The sequence below is a fragment of the Homo sapiens genome, chromosome 5, assembly GCF_000001405.40.
Source record: "Homo sapiens chromosome 5, GRCh38.p14 Primary Assembly".
NCBI lineage: Eukaryota > Metazoa > Chordata > Mammalia > Primates > Hominidae > Homo > Homo sapiens.
Window position 1 is genome coordinate 52686157 of NC_000005.10, and position 14177 is coordinate 52700333.

The following is a 14177-nucleotide window of genomic DNA, read 5'->3' on the forward strand; positions in this document are numbered from 1 at the left end:
TGTAAGGGAGAGCACCAAGTCGCCAGCAGAGTAAGAGAAGCAAATTCATATCTAGACCCATCTAAATACTCCTGCAGAATATTATGGAAGAATCTTTAAGCTTACCAGAAAGAAGAGACTCATTATCAAACGAGGCAAGATAATTAGACCTCATATTTTACATCAGTAAATGTCAGCTAAGAATAGAATTTTAGAAAAGGAGAATTTTACCCTTCAAATTATATTATTCCATTGTCTTGGGCATTCTCTGTTGGCCACTTTTAAGAGTTTCCCTGTCTGAGAAATTTATTTATCAAATCTGCAACTCAGATTCCTCACTTATCAAATGGAAGTAATAGCTGTAGCTTTATAAAATAGAATCCAGACATTTTCAAATACACATAAAGTAATTATGGTTTGGTAGGCCTTTATTAAAAGAAATGCTAAAAGAGGTGTTTCAACAAGAATTGAAACTAAAAGAAAAGAGAAGAATGTAAGAAATAAATGTATTTTCAAGCTTGTTGGTAAATATAAATAAGTATTGACTATAAAATATGTTAATGATGAAATGAGGAGGCAATGTTAAAATAAGTTGGAATTAAAATATTAGACAATAGTAATATGAGACAAATCAGACTTAAATAGTTGTAAGATGTTTATATTACATGAATATTATATAGGAGAGGAGTAAAGACACTGAATAATTTCAAACATCCTTGAGTCAAACAAATTCAAATTTAAGATAAACCAGTATTTAAAATGTTTAGTGAAATTAATAACCTCTAATCCAGTGGAAAACAGGAAAAGAGAGACAGAATAAAGAAAATTATGTCAATGAAAATGAAGCAAGAAGAGGAATAAAATAAAAAGGGAGGAGAAGGAGAAGCATCATACAATTAAGCAATTCAACAAAATATATTAAAAATGCAAATTAAGCTGCAACAAATATCTAAATATGTCAGTAACTACAAAGAATGTTAATGTATTGTCTACCCAAAAAGATAGACTATCACATCTGCTTATAAAAACAATCCAGTTATATGCTACTTATGACAGTCACATTTCCCAGTGACGTGGATTTCTGGATTTCACCTATTGTTCTAGCATACTCTTCTTTTTACTCTCAGAAGTTCTGGTTTGGATGATAAATGACACACTAAAAGAAGCACTATATAAGGAAGTTGAAAACAAATGTATGCAAAAATAGATTGACAAAATAGATATTTGCCAAAATAATGCTGGTATGGAAATATTAATAGCAAAAAAATGGAATTTAAGATTAAAATTATTCATAAAGATAGAGGAACATTTCGTTAAGCTAAAAGGAACAACGCACCAAGGAGATTAAGCAACCATTAGTTTGTAAGCCTTCTACAACTTAACCCTAAAATGCTGAACGCAAAAAACAACAGAAGTGCAAATAAATAAGCAAACTTATAATAATGGGAGATTTGAGTAGTCCTCTCTGAGAAACCAATGGATACATTTTTTAAAGTAATAAAGATAAAGATATTTGAACAACACTCTTATAAACTTAATTTTTATAGAAAATGTACACTATTGGCCAGGTGTGGTGCCTTACACCTGTAATCCTAGCACTTTGCCTGAGCTCAGGAGTTTGGCACCAGCCTGGGCAACGTGTTGACACAGTCTATTACCATGAACTGCATAATTTTCTAAAATTATTAGCCTTTCCCGGTAAAGACCTCAATAAGGTATTGTACAATCTTCCCTAAACTTGTACAGCATTAGCATTCTTGGGAAATTGGGTGCACACTATAAAATTTTATTTCTTAGCATAAATCAGTGGTTCTCAAATGTTAGTGTGCAACAAGGAGCTTGATAAAACACAGATTGCTTGGTTGGTCTCACCCATGAGTTTTTGATTCAGTACATCTGGAGCAGAGCCCAAAAATCTGCATGTAAAATAAGTTATCAGTTGATGCTGATGCTGATGGTCTGAAGGCCACAATTAAGAACCCCTACATAGAAAATTTTAATGTATGCTTTTCACATACATGAATGCTTTATGGTTCATTTGGAGGACATGAAAAACATTCTCAGTTTTGCAGGACTCCCCCATTGTTGCATGAAGTCTATCATCCCTAGCACCATTCCCTAAATGCCAGGGTGGTTAGCTTTCTCACATAGTAGTTCAGTACTCCAAGCACGGGTGTTCTAAGAGAGAGGAATGGAAGCTATCAGTCTCCTACATCCTAAGCCGGAACCTGTGGAGTCAAAGATGCTGGCAAGATTCAAGAGGAGAAGTCGATCCCACCCCTCCATGGAAATAGCAGAAAATAAATTGCACTCATCTTTAATCTACCACAATCTACCCTCTCACCACAAATTATTCATATTTTCCCATATGCAACATTAATTAACTGCCCCTTCTAAAATCCCCACTCCTCAAGTCTAAAATCTTGTCTCCATCAGGTCCGGGTGCAGAGGAAACTCCTTAGATAAAGTTTCTCAAGTACAGCTTTCCGAGTACTATTCCTCTCTATGTGAAATCTGCCCGTCACCCACACCTATCATATGATGTTGGGACAGAGGTAAGATAACGTCAAGATATTACCAATCTGAAAGGAGAGAATAGAAGGCACACTGCAGTCACTGGTTCATAGCAATTCTGAAATCCATTGAACACATATTGCTAGTGTACTATGGACTGAATTGTGTCCCCTGTGAAATTAGGATGTTGAAGCCCTAACCCCTAAAGTGATATGTATTTGGAAATGGGCCTTTGTTAGACAATTAGGTCATGAGGGTGAATCCCTCATCATGCCACTAGCGCCTTTATAAGAAGAGACATGAGAGAGATCTCATTCTCTGTGTCTCCTCCATCTCCACCATGTGAGGACATAGCCAAAAGAGGGCCATCTGTAAGCCAGGAAAAGCACACAGCTGAACTGGCCAGTACCTTGTAGCTGTAAGTACCATTGTTAAGGCCTCAGAGGCCATAGATTAGATCAGTGCCTTGAAACCATTTCTTACTTTGATAATATTTTGTTGGAAGAGACTAGGATGAGAAATACCTTTCTTAAAAAAAAAAAAAAACTGACTGTCCTGAATCCTCTACATATCCTTTAAATTCCCCTCAAAGTTTTAACAGTTCTATTTCTCTCATATGGCTCTTTTCCCTATCTTTCATATACAGCTAAAATAAACAATAGGCACTTTTGACATCCCACATCAACACTTTATGTGATCCACCAGTTTATTAGATACAATTTTTACTTGCCATGACTGCAAACAACAACTTCACTAAACGTTCTGCCACTACCATCACAACAGACATCTGTCTCCAGCTTCCAATAACATTTTCTCCACTGTCCTTGAATCCCTCATCAACAGCCTCCTAAAAGTCCCTTCCATTTTAACAAATAGCCTTCTTGGGGCCTTTCCAGTTTCTACTCACTGCCTTGTCATAAAACCAATAATCCATGAATTTTAGGTTTTTATTACAGTATCACCAGGTGTTGAGTACCAAAATGTGGGCGCGTTATCTTTGCCAGATAGCAAACCAACCCCAAATGTTAGTGGTTCCTTCACATACCTATAACCTTGGCAAGGACAGCCAGAAACTGAGCTCCTTTGGGCCTCTCTTCCCATACATTCTCCGAGTCTTCCCACTGGTCTCGCCAGACCCCATGTATGTCGAATCAGGGTTCCCCAAGTGAGTGCTCCAAGAAAGAAGGGAAAGCCAGTAGTCTTATAAGACCGAGGCCCAGAAACCAGTACAATATCTGTTCTGTCAAGCACTTGTAAGGCTCACCCAGATTCAAAGGAGAGAAATAGGGCTCACCTTTCTTTTTGTGTGTGTGTGTGAGACAAGGTCTCATCCTGTTGCCCAGGCTGGAGTGCCGTGGCATGGTGTGATCGTGGCTCACTGCAGCCTCGATTTCCTGGGTTCAGATGTTCTTCCCAACTCAGCCTCCCGAGTAGCTGGGACAATAGGCACAGCCTGGTTAATTTTTTGTATTTTTAGTAGAGACAAGGTTTCACCACGTTGCGCAGGCTGTTGTCTAATTCCTGGGCTCAAGTGATCCTCCCTCTTCGGCCTCCCAAAGTGCTGGGATTACAGCCATGACCCTCTGCCCCAGGCTGGCCTCATCTTTCAATGGAAAAAGTAGCAAAGAATTTGTGTCTGTACCACACCTCCCATCACTAAGACAAACAAAATGCCTTGCCAATTTCAAAACTGCCTCCCAGGGAAGGGAGCACACCCATCAACCTGATTTCAGGAGAATTAGCATTCCCAAGGACCTGAGGTCTTACATTTCCTTTCTGTGAAGGAGCTGTTATCTCTGGGGAAGTGACCACACCCACAATCAGTCCTAGGGTCCTGCTAGGGATACTTCTACAGGGGAGAAAGGATTTTGCAAGACTAACAAGTGCTCTTTTCCTCAGGGTTAATTTTTACTGTTCTTGAGGTATTCGAAGGCAAAAGCTGAAGTGCTTCTATGTTGGCTGACAAATACATTCCTGGCTTATCTCAAGGGAATTCCCAAAGTGAATTTCCTATTTATAAGCTGAATGTCTAGTCCTATAAATCTTCCTATATTTCTCAGGAAAAAGGTAGGGGGCAGGCTGCTCCGAGCTCTGGGTGGTCTACTATAAACTTCCTTACAGAGGTTATGCTTAAATGTTCTTCTTCTTCTGCTCAGCTGGAGTTAGTTGCCTGAGCAATGCTAGGACAAGACAAAATTATTAAAAGCTTCCAGGGATTTAGACAAAAAGAAAGGTGCTGAGGTCCTAAGCTTCTGAGGAGCCATATCTAATGCCACAGCCCAGGATTGGAGATAATCGGCCATCCTTGCTTGTTGATGGAAAAGAAAAAAAATACTGAAGAAGATTCTTTAGGTATTCCTGTATGAAGTCTCCTTTAGCAGAAGTCTTTCAAAACTTCTGCTAAAATACAGACTTTATAACCTACATTTCAGTTGTGTTAACTTTTCCTGAAACTAAGTGTGACCACAGACATTCGTGTAAAGCCAGAAACTTCAGAATTTGGGAGTGTCCCAAATGCAGTACCCTTTTCAAAATGCATGTGACAAAACACCTTTCTTCCCTGAGCTATGAGCTGGAAGAATTTTCTCAGCCTTCATGTAGGTGAGTAAGCTCTTTTCATTTTTTGGTTGTACCTCTTTTACTACTTAGAATTTCATTGTTGTGTCCAGTGAGCTATGATTAAATATTGAGGTCAGCTGCCCTCTGCAGACTGGGGTCACTAAGTTAAATCCTGTCCACTTGCTGGAAATGTGCGAAGTTTCCACTCCAGTTACATATAGCTTCTGTTTGTGACTAGTAAGCACTGAATAAATATTTCTAAGCTGCTTACTAATCCAGAATTGCATGTTTTTCTGCAGATCTATTTCTTCTTTTCCAGGCCTACTAATTCCACATTAGTGTCTCAGTCAACATATTTCAAGCCATCTCGAATCTAATCGCCCCTTGGTGATTCAGGGGACTGAGACACAGGGAGAATGGAAGGTATTGATATTTTGTATCCCTTTGTGTCAGGTCTTCCTTTTCACATTCAGAAGGACGCAGCTGAATCCTGAGTGTGGTCTACAAAAACACACAGACGAAAACAATTAGCAATTTTAAGTCAGTTAGAGGTGCAAAGAGAAGTTGTCTATTTGTTTCTTTAACAAAGAAAAACCTTTGGTTTTCTCTCCTAAGCCCTTAATCATGCTCTAGGCTCTCCCAAGCACCAGGTTGTCACTCATGAACACAAACTACAATGACTGATTTTCTTAGACTTGTTTGGTTCTTGTAAAGTAGCCAATAAACTAATTGCATGAAAAATGACATGTTAAATTATCTCTACTTTTTTGGAAAAACAGCAGATTGATTTTTTTTTTTTAAGCCAAGCAGAGATGAGGCATTTTCTAGAAAGGCACAAGTTTTAATTATAAATTAATGCACAGGAATTTTATCTGTGCCAACTTGAGCTTGGAAGAAAATAGTATAGAATTACTTGTCTCTTTGTGCAGGTCATGTTACAGTGCTTCTCAAAGACTGATCCAATATTCAGTGTGTTGTACAGTAACATCTACAGTGAGAAAGGGGGAATAAAAGCTGAGCTGGTCAAATGCAGTGTCCTCTTTCATGAGGTCAGCCAATAGGAATTTTAACAGCTAATATTCTAGACAGTGGGAATGCAGTAGAGGCTTTTTCCCTTCTTTCCCAGGAGAAAAAATAAATATCAAGGCAGTCATTTTGAAATCCAGAAAAATCACACTTGGAAACACAAAATAAACTATCCTCAACCCTCAGATTCTATCATTTGATGTATTATCTCCTTGAGAGTCCAAATAAAGTGAGACATTAGCTTTACATGGTTTCATTCTGATTTCTAACAGGACCCCAATTAGAGGTAACTTGCTGTTTAGATTAAGGTTTGTTGTATAACTTTTAAAGTTCAATATCACTTATAAATAATTTCTATCCCCTTAGATTACCTTTCAGCAACCTGGCTTTTATTATCCTTTTCTCCTATTCAAGTAAGTTTTTGTGAAGTCAAACCTAGATGCTTTTCTGAATTATAGATTTCACACCTGACATACTTTGCACACATGTGTCTGTTCCCATTCTTCCTCCTTTAAAAGCCCAACTCATCCTCTTGCCTGAGGAAATAGAGCTGAAATGTAAGGATCTTCAAAACCGTTGCACAATCAACCAACTTTTCTGCACAAGCTGTGTCTACTGCCCTTGCTGCCTATTCTGTTTGGAAGCAAGAGAATAACAGAAGAAACAAGTGACCAAAGAATGAATAACATGTCCAGCCTTTTGTATTACTCCTGATATCATAATAAGACATTGTGTGTTTTATTCACATGGATCTTGGCCATATATTGAGTACAGTGAAACCTCACTGGCTTCAATGTACACTAGACCAGGCAAAGAGCAAATAGTGGCACCAAAGCCATCCCTACCGCCCATCCCATGCCCCTTCTGAGCAACACCTGAAAACCTCTGTAGCATATTCCTGTAAATTCTACCAGGTAGTTAACATCTGCTAAAAAATGTTCTCTTCTAAATTGTTGATGCTTATAGACAATTTCAGAAATTCATTTTAATAAAAGCATTCTCCCTGTAATAGTGGTACACAATTTTATGGCACTAACCAGGTACCAGGTTCTTCACATACACAAACTCATTTGAACCTCACCACATTGCTGTAAAGTAGGTATGAGTCCCCTCTCAAGTTATGGTACAAATGAGGAAATTGAGTTACACAGGTATGCAATAAACAACAGAGCTTAGGTTTGAATTCAAGATGTCTTGATTTCAGGTCCATGCTCTTAACAGCCACACTGTGCTGCCTGTCTGGCCACCAGAGGTCAGCTTCCCTGAAGGAATTAGTATTTGACTGAGGTGTGGTGCTTTCCACAGGGAAGCAGAGAAGATTTTTGGGGAATCCCATAGTGTTTTTAGCATCAGTGTTGTACACAAAAGGAGTACACTAACAACAGATGAAACAACACAAATATCTTTTGACTGAGAAAGTTATGGCTACCCAGCTCTGCTGAGGCTTATTTGTGCTAGAAAGACACATAAAACTTACCCATGAATATTGAAGATTTGAAGGCACGAAGGGGATACCCAGATAACAAAAGACCAGAGCTATACATATATGTCTTCTGCTGTTCATCAAGTTAATTCTCCAAACATTTATTAAGCATCTATTATGCATAGCATAATTAAGCATCTATTGTACATGAGACACTAGACTAACAGGGGGATGCAAAGATGAATGCCATTTGTTTGGAGGCTGGAGTGGACATGCCTCATTATTTGATTCAACTTGTAGAGCAATGGTTCTTGAATTTGCCACATATTATAAGCACCTGGGGGAGTTCCAATGAAAACTTCCGAAGGAAAACATTCCCAGACCAGTAAATTCAGAGTCTCTAGGGTAGAACCCAGGCATGAGGATTTTTTTAAAGCTCCCCAGGATTTCCAATGTGAAGCCAAGGTTGAAAATGCTGAGAACTACTGTTTAGAGTAACCCATTGTGTCAAAGCCTAAATGACCTCAGAAAAAAGTTCACTTTTGCCTTGGCATTTTCTTTCTTCTTGAACTGATAGATACTAGGCTGTAGCTTGCTTATTGCATTTTATGTAACCCACTTAGAGTGCCTTTTTCTGGAGCACTTTGCTTGCTTCTAATTCAAAACTGGCAGCAGGGGAGTGGTGTGAGGGGAGGGTGGTCACTGCCAACTGCTTTACATGTCAAACAGTGGAAGATTCCATTGGGAGGTTAGGTGGGGAGCAGCAACCTGGGCTCTGAAGAGAGATGTATCTCAATTTCTCTGCTTGACATTATTACCCTGGACAAGTCACTTAAAAGTCTTGGTTTCCATATTTGTAGAATGGGGTAAACGATGCCTGTTTGTGAGAAGTAAACTAAGTAACTTATGTGAAGTGTGTGGTACAGAGCAGATACTCCACGGAGGCATCTTCTACTTTACTATAATTATCCTGCTAATTCAAGTGAATCCTGCCCTTCTTGAGGCCTTCCTTGCCAGGTTCTTCTCATAACTGCCATGCTTCCTGGGGAATGAAGCCAAGGGGCTACTCTCCCCAACTCAGACAAAAGTCCTTGAAACTCTCCATTTCCTTTAACAGCAATTTCCCACACTGGACCGCTGAAGTCACATCTTGGCTTCATCCTAACAATTTTCAATTCTTCAGATTCTTTTGTCTCTTTCACTTTTTTTCCCCCATATCCTTAGACTTGCCATTTAAAAGTTGTCTTTGCTTCAAGATTTTTCCATACCGTTCCTCCCTGTTAGCTTCCTCTCCCTTTCTCCTTTCACTAGGCTCTCACAGACATAAAATGGACACTAAAACTCTTTTTATTCAAGTTTTTTACTTCGGCTTTTACTTTAAAGGTTAAAGCTATAAACCCAATGAATATTTCATGTGGAACACTTTTCAGCCCTCATTCGCCGAGGTGGATGCAATAACTACCAGAAAGGCTGTAATAAAGTAAAATTGATAAAGATAACCAGACAGAACATATTAAAAGACACAAATTTATGACTGCTTGATGAGGCAAAATGTTCTCGAAGAAGATTTGCAGGTTCCTTTTTCATTTCACCTTCCTTCATCTCCTTTCTCAGTGCTGTTTCGCATCATCCTTTACTCCTCCAACCTCTACTGGCTTCCTTTTTTCTTTTTAAATCTGTAAGTCCCTATTCTAAATGCTTTCTCTTTTATTGATTTTGGAATAGGCTGGAAGCCGTGATCCACTGTGTCCCTCTCAGATGTCTCCTAATATCACAACCCTGGCCGCATTTTATGCAGCAGCTCTGCTTCTTTTCATTTCTCATTTTTCCCACAATTCTAGCCTGATGACGGCTGGAAAATCCCAGTAACAGGTAACACTTGGCCTCCTTTTCATATATATAGCAGAGTCTCCTGGGGGGAGTTTAACTTAATCCTGGTGCCTTCCTCTTTTTGCCAACCCACCCATTCACCAAGGAGATGCCAGGTATAAATTTGTGAGGTGCCAGAGTGACTGACATTTAGATAGCAATGAGCTCATATTCACCATTTTAAAGAAAGCAGCATCATCAGCCTGCCTAATGCTATTTGGCCCATTAATCTTCTTGTTTCTAATTTAGCCATCTTTTCCCGTTTTCTCAGCTTCTTAATGTAGTTTGCAACCTTCCTCAGACCACTGATATCTGTGTCTGTATCCACTGTTGTTTCTGCAAAATTCGGTTTCCATCATAGCTTGTAAAGTAACATCTTCAATTCTCTTTCTCATAAAGTCAGTGAGACGTTAACCTTTCAGGTAACTGTTTTTAAATAATCTGTTTAAACTATTCTATTAATAACTTAAAGATCTTTTGAATTGTGCTCTTTTTGTTTCGGTCTTTTTCCCTTTCTTTAGAGGACTGAAGCATGCATGCCATATACACAGCCTAAAAGCAGATTATCTTTAAGGTAATGCCTTTGGATAGCTGACAGCTGCTCAAATAGGTCCTAGTTCTGGCAATGTTCTCGAAATTCTTCAAGATTATAAATCTTCACTATGTTCAATTTAAGTTGTTCTTGGGAAATTTTGGATAACACTTATCAAATATAACCTCTAAGAACCAGAGATGAATTAATCTACCCAGGCTTACTTGTCCCCAGAAATTTTATAAAATGCATTGCTCCTAGCGTACATAATACTAAATATATTCTCGATGTCTATGTGGTGCCAGAATTGTGGACAGTAGAGAGGAGCTGTAAAAGATCTCTGAACAGGAAATTCCAAGGTGTCAAGGGAAAAATTTCAGTTGGGAAATCATAACATCAACATAGTTGAATGTAGTGAAAATGCCACCTATTTTATTTTAGTCCCAAATACTAAGTAATAAAGCACAGAGCTGGACACACAATAGAATCTTTAAAGAGTATGCAATAACTTGTTTTAATTTGGACAATGATATTTCAGCTAAAATAAATATTGATGGGAAGGTTGGCATCAGTTAAGCTGTGGTCATAATATAAAAATAGAATTGATTACAAATAAAAAAAATACATTCAATGTCATCAAGTCCAGTCAGTGAAAAACCTAAACAAAATAAGAGAGCCCTTTATGCTAAAGACACAATAAGGGATAAAAACAGTGTTTCCAGGCTTGAAGAATGAAAGAGAGACAACAGAGTCTCACATGGTAAGCCCACCCCATCCTCTCCATCTCCATAGAGACTTGCTTGAAAATAACTGATCTAATTCAATATGTTTACTTATGAATGAGGGTACTAAGGCCTAAACAGTCTGTACACCTCACCCAAGGACACAGACCTTGTTAGCAGTGTAACATAAAGAAGAACTGAAGGCTTTCCATTTCTGGCCCACAGGGCTCTTAGTATATCATGTCTCCTTGTCAAAGAGACCTATTTTGGAAACCACACATTTACTACAAAAGAGGCAGTAGTGGAACATGTCAAGATTCTGCTCAAAATTGAGAAGTGTGCACTCCAAGAAAGCAAGTAGACAAGGCCCATCACTGTGTCTGCATACATCCTGTGCTTTTTGCACTCTGGCATTTGTATCCATTCTTATACACCAATAACAGACAAACAGAGAGCCAAATCATGAGTGAACTCCCATTCACAATTGCTTCAAAGAGAATAAAATACCTAGGAATCCAACTTACAAGGGACATGAAGGACCTCCTCAAGGAGAACTACAAACCACTGCTCAATTAAATAAAAGAGGATACAAACAAATGGAAGAACATTCCATGCTCATGGGTAGGAAGAATCAATATCGTGAAAATGGCCATACTGCCCAAGGTAATTTATAGATTCAATGCCATCCCCATCAAGCTACCAATGACTTTCTTCACAGAATTGGAAAAAACTACTTTAAAGTTCATATGGAACCAAAAAAGAGCCCACATCACCAAGTCAATCCTGAGCCAAAAGAACAAAGCTGGAGGCATCATGCTACCTGACTTCAAACTACACTACAAAGCTACAGTAACCAAAACAGCATGGTACTGGTACCAAACAGAGATATAGATCAATGGAACAGAACAGAGCCCTCAGAAATAACGCCGCATATCTACAACTATCTGATCTTTGACAAACCTGAGAAAAACAAGCAATGTGGAAAGGATTCCCTATTTAATAAATGGTGCTGGGAAAACTGGCTAGCCATATGTAGAAAGCTGAAACTGGATCCCTTCCTTGCACCTTATACAAAAATTAATTCAAGATGGATTAAAGACTTACATGTTAGACCTAAAACCATAAAAACCCTAGAAGAAAACCTAGGCATTACCATTCAGGACATAGGCATGGGCAAGGACTTCATGTCTAAAACATCAAAAGCAATGGCAACAAAAGCCAACATTGACAAATGGGATCTAATTAAACTAAAGAGCTTCTGCACAGCAAAAGAAACTACCATCAGAGTGAACAGGCAACCTACAAAATGGGAGAAAATTTTCGCAATCTACTCATCTGACAAAGAGCTAATATCCAGAATCTACAATGAACTCAAACAAATTTACAAGAAAAAAACAAACAACCCCATCAAAAAGTGGGCAAAGGATATGAACAGACCCTTCTCAAAAGAAGACATTTATGCAGCCAAAAGACACATGAAAAAATGCTCATCATCACTGACCATCAGAGAAATGCAAATCAAAACCACAATGAGATACCATCTCACAGCAGTTAGAATGGCGATCATTAAAAAGTCAGGAAACAACAGGTGCTGGAGAGGATGTGGAGAAATAGGAACACTTTTACACTGTTGGTGGGACTGTAAACTAGTTCAACCCTTGTGGAAGTCAGTGTGGCGATTCCTCAGGGATTTAGAACTAGAAATACCATTTGACCCAGCCATCCCATTACTGGGTATATACCCAAAGGACTATAAATCATGCTGCTATAAAGACACATGCACACGTATGTGGCACATATACACCATGGAATACTATGCAGCCATAAAAAATGATGAGTTCATGTCCTTTGTAGGGACATGGATGAAATTGGAAATCATCATTCTCAGTAAACTATCGCAAGGACACAAAACCAAACACCGCATGTTCTCACTCATAGATGGGAATTGAACAATGAGAACACATGGACACAGGAAGGGGAACATCACACTCTGGGGACTGTTGTGGGGTGGGGAGAGGGGGGAGGGATAGCATTAGGAGATATACCTAATGCTGAATGACGAGTTAATGGGTGCAGCACACCAGCATGGCACATGTATACATATGTAACTAACCTGCACATTGTGCACATGTACTCTAAAACTTAAAGTATAATAATAATAAAAATAAAAATAAAAAGAAAAAACAAATGGGCTAGACGGCAGCCTATAGCTAACTCCCTGGTTTCATATGTGTGGGAACCTGTTACTGTGGCTATAGTAACAATGATGGAATTACATAAATTTGTTATGGGACCATTCAGCTGTGTTTAAGATAGGCAAGCTTTAAAGAGCCTGAGAAAGAATATTTTCAGATATATTCTATAACAATCACTGCCCTATAGCTATGACCTAGCCAGTGGTATGAGTTCAACAAATAAACAAATTTCTATAAACTATATATTTCCTGAGAGTGAGACTTTATCCTAAAGCCTCAGGAAGACATTAACAGGACAAATCATGGAAAAAAGACTATGAAAACTTATGTGTATCATTCATAATGATTAAAAGAATGACCCAATTAATCTGAACACCACTGAATTAAAAACCTACAACATGGGCAGGGTGTGGTGGCTCACGCCTGTAATCCCAGCATTTTGGGAGGCCAAGGCGGGTGGATCACGAGGTCCAGAGTTTGAGGCCAGCCTGGCCAATATGGTGAAACCCCATCTTTACTAAGAATACAAAAAATTAGCCAAGCGTGGTGGCACATGCCTGTAATCCCAGCTCCTTGGGAGGCTGAGGCAGGAGAATGGCTTGAACCTGGGAGGTGGAGTTTGCAGTAAGCTGAGATAGCGCCACTGCAGTCCAGCCTGGGCGACAGAGCAAGGCTCCATCTCTGAAAAGAAAAAAAAAAAAAAAAACCTACGATACTTCTAATTAATGTGCATTGTCTTAGTCAGTTTGGGCTTCCATCATAAAATACCATAGACTGAGTGGTTCAAACTATAAAAATTTATTTTCTTACAGTTTTGGAGGCTGCAAGTCCAAGATCCAAGTGCCAGAAGGGTCAAGTTCTGATGAGGGCCCTTCCTGGCTTACAGATGTCTGCCTTCTTGGTGTGTGCTCACATGACACAGAGGGAGAAGGAGCTCTCTGGTGTCTTCTTCTAATCCTATGATATCAGTTGCCATCTTCATGACTTCATTTAATGAGAATTACATCTTTAAAGGCTCTATATCAAAGTATAGACACAGTGACAGCTAGGGCTTCAACATATGAAGTTTGAGGGGACATATTAATGTTTCTCACTGAATATAAAACTTGGAATAAATGTCATAACAAGCCTTTTACATGTATTACAGTTATAAATTATTTTATGTATTACATAATTATATTGAAACCCATATTATAACTATATTTACAATATGCATAATATAAGGGCAAAAGTCATTTTTCAAACATCATGTGGGAATAAACTATTTAGTACATGTGAATTTTTCAGATAAGTAAAAAGTACCATTATAAAAGTGGATGGATCTTTAATATGATAGACATTTAATAAAATTATTTGTA

At 38.6% G+C, this 14177-nt stretch overlaps 1 long non-coding RNA gene across 9 annotated transcripts in view; it reads right to left on the reverse strand.

The window, feature by feature from the left end:
- PELO-AS1 (PELO antisense RNA 1) overlaps positions 1 to 14177 on the reverse strand; it is a 127387-nt gene that overhangs the window by 12730 nt on the left and 100480 nt on the right. Inside the window, exon 4 of one of the 9 annotated variants that reach the window (NR_186453.1) lies at positions 3788 to 3927. The exons of 6 other annotated variants lie outside the window; for them this stretch is intronic. This is a non-coding gene — a long non-coding RNA (PELO antisense RNA 1). Of the gene's footprint in view, positions 1 to 3787; positions 5554 to 13629; positions 13837 to 14177 lie in introns of all 9 variants that reach the window. 2 more of the 9 variants (NR_186450.1, NR_186448.1) reach the window with 2 other exon arrangements.